The sequence below is a fragment of the Homo sapiens genome, chromosome 1 (assembly GCF_000001405.40).
Source record: "Homo sapiens chromosome 1, GRCh38.p14 Primary Assembly".
NCBI lineage: Eukaryota > Metazoa > Chordata > Mammalia > Primates > Hominidae > Homo > Homo sapiens.
The window spans coordinates 224,742,383-224,764,510 of record NC_000001.11 but is presented as its reverse complement, the minus strand read 5'-3'; the positions used below and the strand labels follow the sequence as shown (position 1 = coordinate 224,764,510).

Genomic DNA, 22,128 nt, shown 5'->3' with positions numbered 1-22,128 from the left:
TCCAGGATCTGAGTTATCACAAACTACCCCAGATGATTCCTAAGCAAACCGGCAAAAGAGCTACTAAATTAGTGGTTCGGAGCCTGGGTCAACCATTGTTGATCCAGGCCTGGGGGCCTGACTGGGGGCTTGACTGGGTTAGACTCTCAGCCAATTTATTTACTTCCCTGTACTTTACTTAATCATCAATAAACTGGAGGCAAAAATAGCCCCCACCTCAAAGGACTGTTGTGAAGATAAGAAAAACACTGAGCAGGAAGCTTGGCAAAGAGTAAGTGCTCAATAAACAACACTTTGGAGCTTTTGAAGAAAGAAAATTCTTCACAATTCTTGCTGTTTCCTTCCAAGTGGAGGGAGCCCCATTAGCACAACACTGTCAGCATCTCTCTACCACTGCACTCACTCTGCCACAGGGAAAGTCGTGTGATACCTCATCGATTAACTTGGGAAGAGCAAATTGGAAATGCTTGGCTCAGTTGCTCCCTTTTCCTCTTAAGAATAAAGCTGTCAGATGGCACAGTGGCTCATGCCTGTAATCCCAGCACTTTGAGAGGCCAAGGCAGGAGGATTACCTGAGGTCGGGAGATCGAGACCAGCTTGACCAACGTGGAGAAACCCCGTCTCTACTAAAAATACAAAATTAGCTGAGCATGGTGGCACATGCCTGTAATCCCAGCTACTGAGGAGGCTGAGGCAGGAGAATCGCTTGAACCCAGGAGGTGGAGGCTGCAGTGAGCTGAGATTGTGCCATTGCACTCCAGCCTGGGCAACAAGAGCAAAATTCCGTCTCAAAAAAAAAAAAAAAAGGAACTGTCCCCAAATAGTACACATCCTCCATTGTTCTTCCAGGAGCGAACTCTATCCTTGTATGAGAACGAAGTCAGGGGTAAGGGAGGAGGAGGAAGCTGATGTAACTCTGATCCACCCTGCTTCACTCTTCCCAGGCCCAGCTGGGCTATGATTGCGTGAGTTACCAAACCTAATTCCAGGATTCAGTAGTAGGAAACTATAGTGGCATGGCCCCATTTACTGTCACTGCTTGTAACCCACTGGGGACTTTGTGCTTCCTATCCCTTCTATTCTGGGCTTTTCAGGTTTAGAGGTCCAGGTTCCAGAGGGGGAACCTTCCTACCAAAGGATGTAGCACATGCTGCCAGGACACTTGGGGCCTGTGCCAAGGAACCTCACAAGAAGCGGAGTCACCATCTTGGCAGAGGAAATTGGCCCTGACCAGCAGGAGGAAAGACAGCTGCTGTGCCCAGTAGGGACAAAGAAATCTGGCACCCAGATGATCCACTGTGCACCTCCTGGCACTTCCTCTGACCAGTTTTGATGATCAATGGGCAAGTTCATCAACCAGAGCCTGAGGAAGGCATAATGTCCAGGGACTGGAGTCATTAGAGATGAGGGTCTAGGTCACACCAACCGGCAAGAAGTGTGACTCAACCAGCAGAGGTGTTTCCTGAGGATGAGAGAGACAATGAGTATCAGTTGTGATGGAAGCTGTAGTTTGTCCCACTAATCTTTATTTTACCCTGCCAGGGAACAAGGCTGTGGGAATGCTGGAGATGCTGCTTCCGGAAATGTATGAAATATAGGTCCATGCAGTGAATGCTGTCATGAGCCTCCAAGATCCATCTTGGGGACTGAAGGTCTTCTCTCCCTCCATGGTGAGTGCTGCTGGCTGACAGCCCTCAGCGAATAGCCCTCTCTGGGAATTGCCTTTGACCAAAGATTGCTGCCTCCCCAGGTCACACCTCCTTTTCAGAAGCAGCCTGAACCCAATGACCAGCCCATATAGAAGTATAAAGATTCAAGAGAACAATTGTACAACATGGTGACTTTCATTAATAACAATCTATTGGAGTCTTGAAAATCGCTAAGAGAGTAGATTTTAAGTGTTCTTACCACAAAAAATGGTAAGTACGTGAGGTAATGCATATGTTAAATAGCTCGATTTAGCCCCTCCACAATGTATACATATTTCAAAATATCATGTTGTACACAAGAAATGTATAAAATTTTTATTTGTGAATGAAAAAAGTAATAAATACAACTGTGAGTGCTGCAAATAAAGAAGACGGTATAACTAATTTAGGAGGGTGTCAGAGAGTCATCTTCCAAAGTAAAATATGAACAGATACTATTTCAAACTAAAATATTCACATATAGCAGTATTAGCATTTTTTTTAGTTAATAATTTTTTTAAAGCCAGAAGGATTGTAAGTCATTGCCTCATAGTAGCTGGCAATTGGTGCAGTGGTCATAGCCAGGATCTGTTGTTTGTAGTAACCCTAGGATAACAATTGAGAGTTTTTCATCATGGTAACTTCAGTAAAAATGAAGACTAGATTAAAACAACAACAAAAAAAGTATAAAGACCCAACATGCTCCACAGAATCGGTTGAGATCTTTGATAAGACTGCAGCACTGCTTGACTTTTCCCTCTGCCAATCCTGCTTCCATTCCTTCCCCTCCTATTGGTATAGATCCCAAAAGGACTCCTAATAAACCTCTGCAAGCCAACCTTCATCTTGGATTTTGTTTCCTACTCCCCTGCAACAGAAATTCATTTTGCTCCTGCAGTAAACTACATTCTCCAATCTAGCACTTATTTATACTAAGATGAGATTTGGCCTACAGCTTCCTTACTCTCTGCCTTATTTCTGATTCAGAATATGGACAGGGAATACGGGCACTATTTATCGGACTGCTTCAAAATCCCAATGGCCATTCTCATTAGGAAATCCAGGAAAGATCAGTGCATAGAGGCAGGCAGGGTACAATAGTGTCATTACCACCTGGGCCATCATTTAGGGTACAGGAGCCCTGCCAACGGGCTGAGATCCAGGGAAGCCAGGGATGGACATGACCATGGCAAGAGGGAATTTAATTTCAAGCTTTATTCTCCATAGAAGCAGCCTCACTGCAGAACACCTTTCAGCCAAGGATCAGACCAAGAGTCATTTGACAATAATAAGAGACCAGGTCTCTAAATGCACCTGATAACCTCACCATCCTGGCCAATCCCTAGCAGTGAGGTCCAGTGAGAAGAACACTGGGCTTTGTCCCAACAAGAGTGACCAATATTTGATTGCCAATTTCACTATCACTATCTGCATGACCCTGAGCAAGCTTAACCTAACTTCGCTGAGCCTACTTTCCTCATCTGTAAAATAGAATAAGAAGAACCTTGCAGAGTTGGTGGGAGGATTAAATAAGATAATGTATGTAAAGCTCCTAGCACACAGCCTGGCTTTTAGCAACTCACAGCATTAGTATTTTTCACATAAAGAGTTTTTAAGCTTCTCAACGTGATGCGTTATGACTGGTTGCTCCTAGCCAATTCATTTACCTCCCACTGTGCCATTTCTAAATAGGGAGACTATTTACACTTGGACAGAACAAGACGTAGGTTTTTGAGCAGCTATATAGGGCAGGGAGCCATCTAATGAGCATGGCTTATTTTTATCCACCACTTTTGCATCTTAGACATGGCTATTTGGATACAGGTCAGCCCTTCCAGTAAAATATTGTTCCTGCTCACCTGCAATGGGTGATTTATATAACTCCACTTGGCCTCAAAGGACAGAAAAGCAATCAACTCCAAGTGGAGAGAGGTGTTACGGCACAACTTAAGGCTGTATGAGAATGAAAGACCAGAAGGTCAGGACTGGGAATTGACAGAGATAGTGACATGGGCAGGACCAGGATCTTCACTGGGACAGTGCCACCCCAGAAATGAGGTCTTCTTGGTTCAGTTGCAATTTGCGAGTCACTGGCCAATACCCTAGAGTCCATTGCAGGAAAGCAATACCAGTGATTCAGGGAAATCTTTTACCCCAAGAGGGGGAAATACTGGAAGAAAATGTCAAAGAAATTAGATAAATCGATGCCCAAGGCTGCCATCAGGAAAAACCCACACCCCTGCCCAGCCCTTTGGTATCATATCCTTCAGGCTTCTGTTGGCAACAGAATCTTTGGCTGAAGGAGCCACTGTCTGACCGGTCTGTCCCCATATCCCTGGACTCCAGCTTTGGAAAAATGAGGAAATGGGCCTGGCCAAGGGGAGCAAGATAAGCAAGGGAGCATCCCAAGGAGCCCAGACTCCCAGCCCCCACTGAGCTGGCCACTTGCTCAGGCTGCAGGACCCTAGGATGTGACCTGACTGGCAGCCAGGAGCACAAGTCCACCAAGCCATCCAGGGAGTGACCCTGCCAGCTCCCACGTCTGTTTTCCTCCCAAGCACACTACCACCAAGCATATACCTGGACAAATCCAGGGGAATTTTGATTCTGTGTCCCCAACTTTCTTTCTCCTCATTCTTTTCCTGTCTTTCCACCTTCCACCATGACCCACGTGGTAGTAACACCGTTTCTGCAGAAACTGCTTTGAGGAAAAAAAAAGCCTGGAGCAGATTTATCCTCTGAAATTGTGTTCTCCTGGATGGCTTCCTGGTTAATGCTCATGGGATTACAAAATGGAAGGCTTTGTCTTGTGTCAATAGCATTCTAACATCAAGAGAGGATAAAGGAGGGGCTTAGGGGCTCCAGAGGGATCTGGTGACTCTGACTCTTCTGAAATTACAGCCCTGGCTGCCCACACAGGAGACTGAGCTCCTGCCCAGCAGCCATCACATGGTGAAACCATCCCTATAAACTTTATAAAGTTAATCATGGAAGAAGAGGGGGAGAGAAATGAAAATAAATCCAGCTTGCAGCACACTCAGCATTCATCATGAGGCCAGCCTGCTCTCTAGCCCACTTCCTCAGAGCTGTTTGATGCCTATTGCCTCAGAATCACATGGAGCCTAGATTAGAGTTCCCCATCACTGCTCTATAGATAACAACTTGAACATTATGAAATGTTAATTTTTCTATTTGAGATATTCTTTTAGGTCCTGCACACCATGTGACACTACTGACATCAGCTGGTCTGAAGGACCCCATGAGAAACTGACTTCACAAAGAATGCAGTTTCCACATCCTAATAATTTCATCCTCCTTACCCCAACCAATCCACAACCCCAGTTTTCCAGCCCCTTGCCCTCCACAATTATCTTGTAAACCTCAGCTCAAAAATCCTCCAGAAGATGAATGTGATGGTCTACTCCCATCTCCTTTCTTGGCTGCCTTGCAATCATTAAACTCTTTCTCTGCTGCAAACATTGCTGTCTCAGTGTATTGGTCTATTACTGCACAGGGAGCACATGAACCTGTTGGTCCTATAACAATGGGACTCTTAGACAAACATATAACAACAATAACATTGCCATCAATTGAGCACTTCTTGTGAAGCTAAGAGCTTCACGTACATTATTTGATTCATCACAATACCTCCAAAAAAGTTGGTATTATCATCTTCCTATAAGATCAGAAAACTGAGACTTGGAGAGGACAAGTAGCTCACCTAAGTCACATAGCTAATAACTGGCAGAGCCAAGATTCAGCCTCAGTTCCAGCTGACTTCAGAGCCCAAGCTCTTCACTACTCTTAACTCTGGGTAGCTACAGATGCTCCAAGATGGGCCAAGTGCATATTTCAGCTCAGGCCCCCTTCCTCCAGAATACTCTCCCTAATCCCAAGCCTTCTCACCCCTGAGCTGGTTTAGGAGGCCCTCCCATCTGCTCCCCTAGGGCCAGGACAAATCTTAGTCACAGCTGCATTGTTTCATTTGTTTATGTGCATGCTCCCCTCAGAGGAAACAAGTTCTTGTATGGTTTTTGGAAGCAGGGACTATGTCTTATTTGGCTTTACATCCTTGTCCCCTGTGTAGGATCTGACACATAGTCATGCCGAGTCTTAAAACTTTAGGCTTTCCCAGAGACTAGACTGTTTTAGACAATCCAGTTAAGTTTTATCACTGGCATGTAATCTGGGGTGCTTGGTTTGGCTCAAACCATTGAAAATTTTTCAAACTAAAGGCCTGCACCAGCCGAGTTCCTTCTCCTGCATCCTGTCTGGGAACTTGAAGTCGAAGCATGGAGGATGTAGCTGTGAGTTTCCTGAAGTGAGCACTCAGGTCCCAAATCACTCTCTCATCTCCTCTGACAGCCTAAGCTTGGTTCCTTTCAATTATATGCATGAAAAATAGCATTTAAACTAGTAAAGTCTCATCCCCAGTGTAATCTTAAATTGTTCAAAATCACAGTAATGATCCTTTAAATAGAATCATAGCTTTGCCTCTCTTTGTCACCACGTCCTTGCCTTTAAAAAGGAGAATCAACAGCCGGGCATGGTGGCTCATGCCTGTAATCCCAGCACTTTGGGAGGCCAAAGCAGGAGGATCACTTGAGGTCAGGAGTTCAAGACCAGCCTGGCCAACATGGTGAAACCTTGTCTCTACTAAAAAAAAAAAAAAAAAAAAAAAAAATTTAGCCGTGCATGGCGGTGCACGCCTGTAGTCCTAGCTACTCAGGAGTCTGAGGCATGAGAATTGCTTGAACCCAGGAGGCAGAGGTTGCAGTGAGCCGAGATTGCGCCACTGCACTCCAGCCTGGGCAACAGAGTGAGACTCTGCCTCAGGGCAAAAAAAAAAAAAAAAAAAAAAATGAGAATCAACATGATCACCAACAGAGACTATTTTTAGGATTGTTGATAGTTTCTAATAAAATTAGCTAAATATAATTGTCATTGGTTATTAACTTGATTGCTGAAGCCAACTATAAATAGAGGGTATCTCTTGGACATCAAAGTAAAATCCAGAATCTCTAAAACTCATTTCAGCCGACAAGTTAACTCAGGCCCACGGCACAGTTCAAAACTTGGGCTCTGGAGCCAGACTCACTGGCTGATTCCCAGCTTGCTGGCCTTGTGATCTCTTCCCTGACCTGAGTTTCTTCACCTGCAAATACAGGGAAAACATTGGCACTTTACCTATAGGATTATTGCGAGAGTTTAGTAAAATAATTCAAATGAAGTACTCAGCATGTTGCCAAGCATTTAGAAATGCTTAAGTGTAATTAAAATTACTCAATTAAAATAAAATCAGGCCGGGCGCAGTGGCTCACTCCTGTAATCCCAGCACTTTGGGAGGCCAAGGCGGATAGATCACTTGAGGTCAGGAGCTCGAGACCAGCCTGGCCAACATGGTGAAACCCCATCTCAACTGAAAATATGAAAATTAGCCAGACATGGTTGCAGGTGCTTATAATCCCAGCTACCTCTGAGGCTGAGGCAGGAGAAACGTTTGAACCCTAGGAGGCGGAGGTTGCAGTGAGCTGAGATCGCACCACTGCACTCCAGCCCGGATGACAGAGTGAGACTGTCTAAAAATAAGTAAGTAAATAAATAAAATTTAAAAAATTAAAAAACTTATGTCTGTTTAAGATAAAATTAAAACTTTCCAAAGAAATTTGGTCCCTTAAAAAGTAAGTTCTGTCAGCAGAAAGTCAGTCTTGTTAACTGTCAGAAACTGTGCCTGACAAGTCTCCCAGGAGCCACGAGATTCGTGACTAAGTTCACTCGTGTGAGAATGAGAAAGATGGAGTCTGCGGATCTGCTCATTTTGTCAGGGGCTGTTTTCCTGCCCTGGGGTAATTGGGCACAAGAATAGATTCATTTTCGGCCAGGTGTGTGGCTCACACCTGTAATCCCAGCACTTTGGGAGGCCAAAATGGGCGGATCACAAGGTCAGGAGATCGAGACCATACTGGCCAACATGGTGAAACCCCATCTCTACTAAAAATTAGCAGGGTGTGGTGGTGCGTGCCTGTAATCCCAGCTACTCGGGAGGCGGAGGCAGGAGAATCCCTTGAACCAGGGAGTTGGAGGCTGCAGTGAGCTGAGATCACACCACAGCACTCTAGCCCAGTGACAGAGCGAGATTCTGTCTCAAAACAAACAAACAAAAAAAGAACAGATTCATTTTCTGCAGTGTCATCTTCCTTGTGCCCAACACCCCTGGCATCAGACTTTGCTCACTATTCCAGTTTTATTCTCTTGGTGCCCTCCATAGTGGGCTGCAAGGCACAGTGGGTTCCAGCTATGACCAGGAATCTGTCCTGATCCATCGGATCATGTGCTCTTGGGCAAATTCCCTCTCAGTTCAATTTGGGACTACCCTCTTCCATCTGGAGAGGTCACAATTCCCTTATTTGGGCAGTGCTAGAGGGGACCACACCTGAGCCAGGGCCAGGAGGAGCAGCAGAACTGAGAAGGTAAGTATACGAGAGGTGTTCTTGGTCCCTGGTTTGCCCAGGACCATCCCAGTTTTAGCACTGAAAGTCCTGGGCAAACTGGGATGGTTGGCCACCCTAGGAAAATCCTAAAGGTCCCCTCGTAGGTGGATTGTGCCAAGGTGTCAGGTCATGTCAAAGGTTGGGAGGAAGCCCAACAGTGCTAACCCCAAACTTTCTGACTGTTTTATAATGGCCCTTTTGATTTATTCAAATGCCTTCAGAGAAAACAGCACAATTCACCAGCCTCTCACTGTATAAGAGCTTTGATGTAATTAAGAATCATTTTTATTTCATCTTCCTGTGTTCTCCGGATTGAATAATACCAGTCCCTTCCAGTTGTGCTGTCATGCCATATTCCCTGGTTACTCTCCTCTGACCCCACCCCATCCTGGCCCCTGGCCCCTCACTTAGAACCAGAGAAAGACCAAAGGCTCCAGGGAATTGTCCCCAACTCTGGGTGGAATTCTCATCTTTGGAGTCCAGTCGGGAGTGTGAGCTGCAGGGTCAGGGCTCACAAGGTTCTAACCTGGCCTAGTCTGAACTTGAGTGTTCATCACAAGCACCCAGTTTCGCTCTGGACTTTCGGAGGGGAATGGGAAGGGGAGATGTACACAGGAAAATGTCTGACTCAGGGTGAAACCAAGTCAGAGTGGTGGGACTTTCTCCAGAGTGTCCCTTTTCTTACTTACGACCCCATCTCTCTCTCCTGGCTCTTTGAAGCAGCCCCCTATGAGAACAGCAGCATGGTCTGCATGTTACCAGAACCCCACTGCAGTGACACCTCCACCAAGAAGTCTCCCCAGCTCTCCTAGCTTTCTCATCAGCCTCCTCTAAAAATTCCTGGTGCTCCCAGAGATTGTACCATAAAAATTTGCACTTAATGACTACTTTGTTTCATTCCTCAATTGGTTCATGTTGATTCTCTTTTCCCAATGGTATTTCAAGATATTTTTGGAACAAGAAGCTTGTCTCACTTAACTTACTCACTTGTTTTTTCCTAAACCTTCACAGCACCTATCAGGGTGTCAGGGAGCTAAAAAGTACTCAGTAAATACTATCAAAAGATGGCGAATGAATTCTGAACACACCATCCCCCAGCATGACACCTTGCACACTAAAGCTCAACACGTGTTTGTTGAATGAATGAATGAATGAATGAATGAACACTCCTGTCTCCTACTTATCCACATTCCTGATATTCGCCACCCTGGTTTTCGGAAAAACAAAAATATATATATATATAAAGATGGAATGAGACAAAAATATGATAGAGTTGGATGAAGTACTTGGTATTTAAGTTTTTTTTTACTTCTTATGGGGATATCCTGGCTTCTTATCTGCTCTCTTGGTGGGGGAGCTAGAGGTATATTTGAAAAACACACCCACCATAGACCCATCCTCTAGAATTTTTGCTTGTATCTCATTTCAAAAACCCCCTGCTTCTTCAGTAGCTGTAAAGCAAGCCACAGGATGGCAAAAAATTAACATGAAAAAAAAGTAGCATACATTTAAACTGCTGATATTCTGAGAGAAAATCTTTCAGAGTACTTTTAATGCTTTTAGCTGCTATCTACACACTCTGCAAGCAGATTTCTATTTACTAATGACGGCAATTAAGGCAAGGTCTTAGGCTTAACAAAGTGATTTTTTACTGTAGCAGATATGCTAATCAACTTTCCTGCCATGCTCAATTTTTTCATCTAGCTTAGTATTTGTGCCCACAGCCTCAGAACTGGGAAGCCTCTGCTATGACATGCATCTTTCTGGCCACATATGGAAACCTGATTGGCAATGGCCAGTGAGATTCTATGTAAAGAAACTTGAAATGAATGGTACAGAATTTTAGCCCTGTAACCTTTCACATATCACTTATTCTCAGTTTCCTCATTTGCAAAATAGGCATATGATTTTGGAATTAAATGTAATCACTTTAGCAATGTAGTTAACATACTGCATAGACAAACAACTGCTCAAGAAATGTTAGCCATTGCAAAAATAAAAATTGTAAAATACATTAGTGAGGCCGGGCACAATGGCTCATGCCTCCTGAGTAGCTGGGACTACAGGCGTTTGCCACCATGCCTGAGGTGGGAGGATTACTTGAGCCCAGGATGTTGAGGCTGCAGTGAGTCAAGATTGCAACACTGCACTGGGTGACGGAGTGAGACCCTGTCTCAAAAAAAAATTATAGTAAAACACATTGTTTTTATGGTTGGTGCTAATGCTGAACTGAAAAACATATGAAGTTGGATCCTGAAGTGGTCATATTAAGCTATGAGCACTAGGAGAAGAAAAGGAACTAAAAAGAAGCAGGGATGGAAGAGACCACAAGTTCTTGTCTTCCCAGTCCACCTATAAAACTGATTTTGGGCTCCCAGATGTTCATAAAATTGACTCTGATGCCCATAAGTAAATGCCTTGTGGTAGCCAGCATCCAAGACGGCCCTTGATCCTCACCTCCTAGCTACCATGCCCATGTGCAGTGTCCTCCCAAGCTAGGTCATAAAACACATTGACTTCTCCCTCTCTCTCTAATCACTCTGGTAGAAGCCATGTACCATGTTGTGAAAAGGGGCCAACATTATGAGGAACTGAGGCCTCCTGCTAACAGCCCTATGAGGGAGCCCTTCAGAAGCAAATCCTCCACCCTGATCAAGGCTTCAGATGGCTGCAGTCCTGGCCAACATCTGGACTCCAACCTCAAGAAGACTCCTGAGCCAGAACCACCAGCAACGCATCTCCCAGTTTCCTGGTCCTCAGAAACTATGAGATAATGAATGCTTGTTTTTTTATGCAACAAGGTTTTGTAGTAATTTATTACATAGAAGTAGATAACTGATACATGCTCTTTTGTTTAAACAGAATTGAGTGCATTTCTGTACCTTGCTGTCTATGTTTTCAGGCCAAGATACTTACTTTAAAAACATTAGTTTAATAAGAAATGCGAACAGAACTATAATTGTTAAAGTTTTTCATTTTCATTTTCTTTTTCTGAGAAAAAGAAAAGTTTTTCATTTTCTTTTTCTGAGATATACAGAAGTTGACACTAGTTTCAAAGCTTACTGCTTATTCACCTGCCTGTCAACCACCTATTTTCCTTCACATTCATTCATCTATCCATGCTATGTCTTAAGACTGGGGTTTTAAGATAGAAGTACATGGATAAATAATATACGGTACTGGGGGCAAGAAATTTTCTTTTCTAGAAATCCTTTTGGGGAAAAGTTTTTCAGAAAATGGTTTTTTGACCAACTGACTTGGGGTAAAAGTTGAGCCTCCAGGGCATGATTTACTTTGGTATAAGATTGTAGGATATAGACCTGGCGTGGTGGCTAATGCCTCGGATCACGAGGTCAGGAGTTCGACACCAGCCTGACCAACATGGCGAAACCCCATCTCTACTAAAAATACAAAAGTTAGCCAGGTGTGGTGGTGCATGCGTGTAATCCCAGCTACTCAGGAGGCTGAGGCAGGAGAATTTCTCAAACCTGGGACGCAGAAGTTGCAGTGAGCTGAGATTGTGCCACTGCACTCCAGCCTGGGCAACAGAGCGAGACTGTGTCTCAGAAAAAAAAAAAAGAGTATAGGATATATGGAGGGAGGGAGTTTGGAAGTCACATTTATTTGTGCATCTGAAGAAGAAACACAAGAATGAGATAAAGGGAGAAGGGGTGAAGAGCAAAGGCTCTATGATACGACTCTTCCCTTTGCCCCTCCCTATCATCTTGAGTAAAATTATTAAATTCACAAAATAGTTGAGACACAATTGGAGAGGTGGAAACCAGTGAAGGGGCAAGCCTTTGTGTCCATGCTGATGTACTGGAATAAAGACCGCCAGGAAGACCTAAAGCACAGAGGCAGAGAGCAGGAAAAGGAGTAAGCCTCAGGGACACAGAGAAACCATAAGGAGGACTTCGAAGTTTCACAGAGCTATGATAGTGAGGATTTGAAGTTTGGTTAAACCTCTAAGGGCCCTGAGGTCCCAGTGGGCATATGGATGGATGAATGGATGGATGGAGACAGAGGCAGAGAAATGGACAGGTGTGAACTCCTGGAGGACTGAGAGAAGAAGCCTCATCTTATTCATCTTTATGCATTTTATGTTGTACATGGCAGAGGTTTTATAAACTTGTATGGCATAAATGAATGAATGAGCGGATAAATAATATATGAATGAATAAACAGATGAAAGACTTGCAGGTACTAATTATCTAATATATGCACTCTATCCAATACCCGTATAGTCATCTTGAAACTTAAACTTACATAAACTGTGTTTTTTTCATACGGTTACACATATTTCAGGTTGCAGAAGATATTCTATCTGCTTAAGTATCCTTACCATAAAGCAATACTTCATTGCTTACAAAAGCCCATCTTTCTTCTGGTTCATCAGACAAATATTTATGTTGTCTTCACTTTCTGCTAGGGGAGCAACGGAGAGGGGAGAGATTGCAGAATGAATGTAACCAACTAAGGCATCAATATGTCTCCAGCCTGAGCAAAGTGGGAGCTACTACAAATGAGCTTGCTAGTACAATAAATGTATTCCGATTCCCTTTCTAAGGCTGCTCCAGGATTCTGGAAGTGAACATGCCATTCTTCTCTGCATATCTGAACTGCTCTTGTCATTAGTAAAATGTGAGAGTCTTCTATGTATGACGTTCTAAATCAGCCACAAAGACTCTGCCATCTCCACACACATCAGCTCTGCTGGTCTGCACTGAAGCAATTCAGGTCTGCTGGCTGCTTCAGATTAACTGAATTTAACTGTCTTTTTTCCTAATCGAGGACTTCAATAAAAAGGAGATCATTCCAATACCAGCTGTCAGTCCCAGTGCAGTCCTGGTAATTACCACCTTGTCAGACTTTGAAATCCTCCTTCTATGCCAGAGTTCTGAGTTCATCTGAATTTATGAATTATTTGCAGAAATAACAAAACCTATCAGATTACCTTTCAACTTCATTCAAAATGAAATTAACTGGCAAGAAGACATAATGGCTTATGGGAAGACTTTCATACCCTTAAAATAGCAAACTGATTTCCTCTCTCTTTTACCAACTCTGCCTTTCCCTCACAGTTCTCTCCAATTAGCCCGCTACTTCCTTTTTCCTCTCACTGGAGGCTTAAAAGAGCAGGAAACTGGAAGGGCCAAATCATTTTTTAAAGTGCGTGCCGGTGTGTGTGTGTGTGTGTGTGTGTGTGTGTGTGTGTGGTGTGTGTGTGTGTGGTGTGTGTGTGTGTGTGTGTGTGTGTGTGTGTGGTGTGTGTGTGTGTGTGTGTGTGTGTGTGTGTGTGGTGTGTGTGTGTGTGTGTGTGTGTGTGTGTGTGTGTGTGTGGTGTGTGTATAAATGCTGCTCATTCTGAAATGGTTTCAACATCTTCCTACTCAATCCCCACCGCCCACCCCCCAACACCAACTACTGCTGGTGAGGTTCTGGAAAGCAATCTTTGAACATGAAAATTAAACAAAAAGGACATTAGGAACAGAATTATTCTTTTTCCTTTTCTTTCCTTTTTCTCCTTTCATCACCTAGAAGGTGATTTATAAATGTACAGCTCCAGCTCAAAACTCTTTCCTCAGACCCTTCCATTCTACAATCTTCTAAACATCTTATCTCAATGACCAATTGACATTTAAACTCAACATATCCATGGTGGGGACAGCTACATGCTCACCAAAACCCACCTAGACTACATTTCCCAATCTGCTGTGTGGGATGAAGGTTGTACCAACTTCTGACCCAAAATTTGGTTTGGACGTTGAGAACTGACTAATGCCACACATGCACCAAGAGAGGATGAACAGACTCATCACTCACATAATGAGGCTTTCAGGGAGAGCAGGGCAGGCTCCCAAGCATGTCCAAAAATGGCTTGAGAGAGCAAGGAGGGGTGATTGGCTCTGGCTTTTGCTGTTGCTAGGGGTTGGGTCCAAGGTGAGGGTTCCCAATGTAGGCCAGGTTTTGAACTTCCTTGGTGTCAAGGGAGGGAGCATAAAACTTTCCTATTGGTTTGCTCACATGGGAGACAGAAGGAAGAGGGGGAGCTATGGGGCTTGAAAGGTGTCAGTAGTCAAACATCAAAAACAGAGTAAGTCTCTTTAGTACGCTATAGCTAGAATTCTCCTATTCAGCTTCAAAACCGAACACATTATCTTTCCCCTAAACAACTTCCCTTTCTCAAGGAATAGCCCTACCACCTACCACATACAAAGCCAGAAACGTACCCTTTTCACCAAGCCTCAAAATTTCCATTTTCTCATAGCATTTCTCAACAACCTCCTCCTTGCCACCCTTTTCTTTCTCGGATGAGAAAACCACTGGAGGGGTCAAGGGCTCAGTCCCTGAAGTCCTTCTACCCAGGTTTGAATTCTAGATCCACACCTACCTCCTTGCTAGTTTGTAATCTTGGACATGTACTGAATCTTTCTGTACTTCAGTTTCTTCATTTGTAAAATGGAAATAGTTATAATACTTACCTCCTCAGATTTGTCATCAGGATAGAATGAGTTAAAATTTACAAAATGCTTAAACTAATGCTTGTCACACAGTAAGTGCTACATAAATGTTTGCAATTTTTCTCTCACCTGGGTTTCTGCAGTAATTTCTAACCATCTCCCAATGATTTTTGTTTTCTCCAATTCATTCTCCACTTGAAAGCTAGAACAGACTTTCTAAAGCCAAATCCGACCATGTTTCTCATCTTATTTTAAAGCTCCAATCAAATTTGGACATTCCAACCCTCCCTTACATTGACTCTGACCTCTTCGCTTTCTCTACCGGAAAGGGCACAACAGAACTGGATTATTGGCCAAAGACACAGCCAATCCCAGCCAAAGGAGCCATCAAGAAATGTCCAAAGACAACTGCTAATAACAGTAACACACATGAGTTAAGAAGTAAAAATGAAATAGCATTCCTGAATCCAATGATATTTCTGGTAGAAATAATCAAAATAAAATAAATGTGACAATGTTTAAAGTAGCCCATGATGAAATGTGTGACAGATGAATGTACTGAAGAACTGCTTCTGATTGATAACAATGGAAACTGCACGATTTGATATGGAGAGAGAATGGAATTAGTAAAACGTTCAAATAAGAGTTCCAGTGGCTAAAACATCCCATAATAAAATGTGTTCATGACTAGACATTGATAAAAGAATGTGGTGTTGCAAAATTTAACTTTGGGGATTTGAATTTGGTAAATTGGTGGTTTCATAGAAAACTCACAATGGCAGAAGCTACAACTTTCAAAAACTAATAAATTTAATCTTTGTCATAAAATTTACACAGAAAATAATCGATCCCAGGGAAATAATTTTAGAAAAATGAAAATGGAAAAATTTGGAAATAGTTTATTAATTCTATATTAAAAATTATCCAAGGAATTAAACTGGCCCAACGGAGTTCACTCTAGAAATATCTTTCTCAGTGAAAAGCTATCAAGATTGCTAAGGTTCTCGTTTTAAAATTAGTATTTTTAGACACAGAGTAAAAAATTGACCTGGGGGGTTCAAAACTGTAGTGTCAAAGATGCCTTGTACTCCAACTAGACAACAACCTTCACAGAGGTCTAGGACCCTCTAACAAGCCAAGGACGGCTTCTGAAAAAAAAAAAAAAAAAAAAAAAAAACAAGAGCTGGGCAGCAATTTCTTTCCCTCTTGTCCCAAAGCCAATTTCTAAAGCACTTTCATCCAATATTCTCAGATACAGCCATATTTTAAGCATATTCTTAAAGCAGAAGAAAAGTCAACTCCTTCTGTGACTATAAAAGTAACAACCCCTCATATCGGTATTGCATTTTCTATACTGCAAATTGATTTCATGTAAATAAGCTTATTTAGTATTCACATCATCCTCACAAAATTATGCATTAGCGCTCCCATATTGTAGTTGAGTAAACTGGGACTCAGAAAGGTTGAGAAATTTGACTAACATCACCCAACTGACAAGAAGTAGAGTCAGAATTCCAGTTTAGGTCTTTCTCATTCCAAGACCAGAGCTCATTCCATGAGGTAAGATTTCACTGATCACCTGATTAACATCACAGCCCCAGTTGGAACTCCAGGCTCAGGAAGGCAGCAGATTATGAACCCCAGAGTTCCCAATCATTCCCAAATAGCCTTGGACCCTGGAGTCAACTGTATACCCCTGGGATCACCCATCATTCAGCACCACCACTCCCATTCCCAGGCTTCTGGCCTCTTCCAGGTACAGGAGGAGGAGGGCATGTAGTGCCTTGACTGAGCCCAGGCCAGATGACATTACCCAACCAGCTCAATCCTGCCTTCTCCCCTGCTTCCCTTGGGACCAGGCCGACCAACCCTCAGAAATGTTGGATATGAAAAAAGGGAAACCTTGTAGAGGTGATTAGTTTAAAGTCATTCTTGCTGTCCTTATGCTCTGCTCTCATCCCCTCCCTCACCTTTCACAGGCCTAGCTTGGAGAACTTCCAAGGGTTTGTGGGCAGAGCAAGAGCCTCTGAGCCGTTTCTGCCAGAAACATTGGACAAGAGCTGAGCCAATGAAGGACTTCAGACCATCTCTTAGACACCCGGGGCACTGTGGGCGGGTTTCCTGTGTGTCACTCCCCAACTGCTGCTCCCCTGGCCATAAGCCAGACTCTCTCATGCCAATAAATAATATGCAAAGGCCTGGCTTTTTTGTTTGTTTGGGTTTTTGTTTTCGTTTTTGTTTTTGGTTAATGTTTTCTAAATTGTTACATGTACAAAAGGTGATGGAGTTTAACAATAATCACTCTGCGACTCCGGAGAGCCAGTTGTCTTTGTTCCTTTAGGCCTAGGAGTCATATGTTTTAGTGATTCAGAGAAGAAAGAGAAGAATTCAGAAGAAGAAACCACTCCACCTTAGTCTGGAGTGATCTCTGCAGTGGTAAAGGACAATCTGCTGATGCCCTTCGCATGCCCTTTCCTGTTTTACTGCTACTGAACCCGACAGGATATTGCCAGGACACAGCCTGCATGGGCCTGCCACGTTGCCTTAACATTCCTCCCTGGGATACTGATTCCTATTTACTATGAGGTTATCTCTGCCTTCTGCTGGTTCTAATCATCGAAAATTCAATTTAATTCAACATATATTTACTATGGGCCTAGTAAGGACAAAGCCAGCTCCGAAGCTATCTAAATAAATACCTGTCCTCAAAGGGCTTATAATTGATGGTATCCTGAATTCGGCCCTATTTTTTCTGCATTTCAATTATGTGGTTTGTCATTGTGTTTTGCTCAATTTGGGGCAAGTCCTATTTCTTTACAGTACTTCTGATAGTTGGTTCCATATTTGGAACCATTCCATCCCATGGTACACACTCATCCCTCAGTCTTCCATCAACCCCAGAAAGCTCTGCCTCATGCCTCTCTCTGCTGAGTCTCCACTGCTGCCTTTCACAGAAAAGTGCTTTGCAAACAGTGCCCCTCTTGGTGCTTCTGACCAAAGGTCCCACTGAGACAGATTTGAAAAGGACTGCTTGTGTTTAGCCCAGCAGTTCCACACACATTTGACCACAGAACGGTCCTTTCGCCTAACACTTCTCCAGAACCCTCATTGGGAAGCAACTGCTTCAACCAACACCATCTGAAGAGCAAGGGGTGGGGTGGGGGTGCTGTTTTCACCCAAGTCCTGGTTTCTACCCTCTTGGAGCCTTCATGTCTTTGAAGACAGTCTTTTAGACTTCTCTCCCCAGTCCTGTGAAATTGACTCTGGATGCCCTGCTATGGGCAGGCTCAGATTTCTCAATGTCCCTCCTAAAGCACATGGTTGCCTTCACCCCTTCTATATTTTGCTGCTGACTTTTTTGAGCCCAATCTTAAGACCTTTCACGTATGCCTATTGTATTTCCTCTAGTGAGTCTGAGCTTATGATATTTTTTAAAAAAATCTCTTCCTGTCCTGATTGAATCCTTTTCAGTTTTGTGTTAGCCCAGAATTGATCAATTGCCTTCATCTGAAAGTCACTGATAATAAGCAGTGAAGAGGACAGCGTCAACTGCAAAGCCCCAAGGTACTCATTCAGGATGGCCTTCCACCTCCCGTGAACCAGTGCTGTTGGGTTACCACTACTTAGCTCCCTAGAAAGTATCATTATCCAACTGGGGCTGAACGTCTGCACCTGGCATGGGCTGGGCTTCCTCAAACTGTGAAGCTGAAACCTATGTTGGGGTTTCCCAGTAATGCAGACCTGGGGGGCATGTGTCTCAAATGAAAAATGTGATCTGGCCTCATTTTCTTATTTTCACCTAGAAGTGGTTATGCTAGAGCTGCCGTTGGGTCCTTATGACTAATTTTTCCACTGGTACCTGTAACACCATTAGATATGCGCTACACCTCAGGGCATAGGTGTTTTGAATGCAAGCATAAAATATTACTGAAGAACATAGAACTGCTGATTTTAAAGACTGGTCCACTACGGTGCAGGGTTCCTAACCATCCTTTGGGGATCTGGCTCATCTGCTGCGCATCTCCATTTCACTGACAGGGCTTATAGAGTCTGGGAAGTGGCCTCGACATCACACTTATTTTCAACTTAGCTCTGGGAAAATAAGAACAGCATCACAAGATCTGTCCTAGGAAGCCACTTACAAAACTTCCCCCAAAGCCTCTAGTGCTGCCCTGCTGTTTTGATTGCAGCTATCAAAACAGACTGTCCCAGGCATGGGGGCCTGATTGATGGGTTTCATTATAATTTGATGTGGGGACTAGTATTTAGTGGGGCTCTCATTTTCCCTACTTCCTCTGCTCTAGAAGATCAGAAATATAAAACCGCCAGAAAGGTGATCTTGTTTTTCTGATGTGTCAAGCATTTTTGAAAAGGACAAGGTTTACTGTCAGATTCCTGTTTGATGTTTGAACAGAAACACTGTGGTGGCATTTAAGTCTCTCTGCTGGCTGTCAGGCAGGCAAACTCTGGGACATAAAACCACCTTTTCGCACTGTTGCTTCTTTAAGCCAAAAGGTATGTGTCTGCCCCTTGAGGTACTCTGGGGTCCAGTGAGGAGACTGGCCTGCCTAGAGGAGGCCGTGTATGTAGAGGAATTGCCCTAAGAATGGCGAGGGAGGGGGACATCCACAGAGAGTAAATACTCTCACCATGGCCAATTTCAAGCAATCAATGGGTCATCACTGAATGCAAAGCTGGGAAGAGATACACAGCAGCATACCGTCACATAGCATTTCTGCCACAGATACAATAGACATAACCTCAAGTAAAATGTAGTAAAATAATTGGGAAGTGGTGAGTTTGACTAGGTATTACCTTTGTTTTTAAAATTATTTATTTAATTGTAAGTTTACATAACTTCAGTTTTAATAATGGCTCTGTTTAACAACTATTTAGTAAAATCCCTAAAAAACTAAACAGTTGGCTCTCATAAGCCTGTACAAGTCACTTTTAGCACCCCACTGGCTGGGAAGAAATGTGGGCATCATGTGGTAGCTAAGAGGTCAAGTTCATAGCACCCTTGGCGTATCCAATACTATCTAGGCAGAATTTAACAGGGGCAGAAATGACCACAGAGTGGGTGGGTGGGAGCAAAGCCTGGAAAATGCTATTTTGTTGTGGCTGTTTTGACCCTGTTTCTATTTCTATTTCTGGATCATGGGCAGCAACTGAAACCCAATCCGACGTGTGGGCACTGAGGTCTCCCTCTGCAAATGCAGCTGTGTGAAATGCTTCCATCATGTGCCGCTCCCCACAAGGAAAGCCTGCTCCTGCTCCCTGCTAAACTGGACAGAGCTAAAACTTGGCCGGGCATGGTGGCTCATGCCTGTAATCCCAGCACTTTTGGAGGCTGAGGCGGGTGGATCACCTGAGGTCAGGAGTTTGAGACCAGCCTGGCCAACATGGTGAAACCCCATCTCTACTAAACATACAAAAATTAGCTGGGCATAGGGGCGGGCACCTGTAATCCCAGCTACTCAGGAGGCTGAGGCAGGAGAATCACTTGAAACCAGGAGGCGGAGGTTGCAGTGAGCTGAGATCGTGCCCCTGCACTCCAGCCTGGGCAACAGAGTGAGACTCGGTCTAAAAAAAAAAAAAAAAAAAAAAAAAGCTACAACTTGCCCCCACCTTTCCCTAGAATGTGTGGTTGTGTCCTGAAGGCTTACTCCCTTGGTCAGCTCCTCCTCTCCTTTGCCTGGGATGAGCCAAATCACAGGGCATGTCCCAGGATGCCCCCTCAAACGCCCACAGTGAGTAGTGCCTTCTGCCTGAGCCTCAGGAACAGAGGCAGCCCCAAGATGTCCAGCTTGGACCGGCAGCTCCGAGGCCTGGAGAAGGCTCTGCCCAAACAGTCATTTGCCAGAGCACAGATGAAAACAGAACAGCCCAAGTCCAGGAAGAGAAAGGGTTATGGAAATGGATCTGTGTAACGACACAGCGTGAGTGCAATTAATTGTTGTCAAAGCATTTTGCTGGCTGCATTCATCTCTTATGTAGGAGAACAAAACTGTCATAACGATGACAACTTTATTCAACATTGGTGCAATTACCAAACCTAAAAATAGGATGCAAAGGGAGGATTTTCTTGAGAGGGCTGAGCTCTGCTACCCATGTTGCATGCCTGGAACAGTCCACCCTGAAGATGGAGAGGGGAAAGGAGGGAGCTAAGATTCATTGACTGTCGTCATGTGTTACCAGAAGAAGCATTTTACCCGTTTTTATCTACATAATCCTCCCTTCCCCTCTTTGAAGGGAAGTGCCGTCGGGTGCAGCACTGAGGACCGAGATTTGTTGAGCACCAATTTTGAGACAGGCTCAACAAGCATTCTGTACATAATTTACTTAAATTATCACAAGAATACTGAAAGGGAGGTATTATTAGCCTCATTTTACAGATAAGAAAGTTGAGTCTCTAAAGGTTAAGAAGTTTGCACAAGATCCTGTAGCCAAAATCCTTCCGATTATAAAGTCATTCACATAGAATTGCTTGCTGTGAAACATGTGAGCTCAGCAGAGCCACACTGCTGTCCCATCGTCATCCCCTTTTCTCTTCTATCTCACATCCCACTGTCCTCGTGGACTCTATCACCCTTTCAGGAATGAGAAAATGGTCAAAGCCTTGGAGTCAAAAGGACTTGGGTGGAAGTCTAGGCTCCATGACTTATTAGCAATTGTGACCTTGGCTCAATTGCTAGACCTCTATAAGCTTTAATATTTTCAACTATGCATTGAAGACAATTATTCCCATTCCATAATATTGATGTGGGGATTAAATGAGACTACATATGTCAAGTGCTTTGCAGAGCATCCAGCACATGGCAAGTACTCGACAGCAGTGGTTATCATTATTAGCAGAGAACATGACACTGAAAAGAGGGGTCGGGTCCCAGCCTGACCTCCATTCAGGATACTATAGACAGGAATGGGGCCTCGGGAGGGCGGCAGCATCCAGGAATCTTCACTCCTGTTCCACGTGGCCAGTTGGCTTCATGGTCCTCCCAAAGGGAGGGAGCTTGCCCTGGAATGGGCACAGGGCATAGTAAGGATGGTGATACAGTCTGGATGTTTGTCCCCTCCAAATCTCATATTGAAATGTGGTTGCAAATGTTGGAGGTGGGGCCTGGTAGGAGGTGACTGGATTGTGGGGGCAGATCCCTCATGAATGGCTTAACGCCATTCCCTTGGGGATGAGTGCACTCTCGCTCAGTTCACATGAGATCTGGTTGTTTAAGCATCTGAAACCTCTCCCTTCTCTCTCTTGCTCTTTACCATGTGACAAGTCTGCTATCCCTTTGTCTTCCACCATGATTAGAAGCTTCCTGGGGCCCTCAGCAGAGGGAGGAGCCATGCTCGTACAGCCTGCAGAACTGTGAGCCAAGTAAATCTCTTTTCTTCATAAATTACCCAGGCTCGGGTATTCCTTTATAGCAACACAACAATGGATTGGCCCAGATGGCAGGGAAGACTCGCCCTCTACAGTGAGTGTGC

The 22,128-nt window shown here is 44.0% G+C and overlaps 1 long non-coding RNA gene across 1 annotated transcript; it reads left to right on the top strand.

Annotated features, from left to right (window-relative positions):
• The first annotated feature begins 1,542 nt into the window (after positions 1-1,542).
• On the top strand, positions 1,543-5,165 carry LOC124904523 (uncharacterized). Its single transcript, XR_007066898.1, has 2 exons — positions 1,543-1,670; positions 1,751-5,165. It is a non-coding gene; the product is annotated as an uncharacterized LOC124904523 (long non-coding RNA).
• The last annotated feature ends 16,963 nt before the right edge of the window (positions 5,166-22,128 follow it).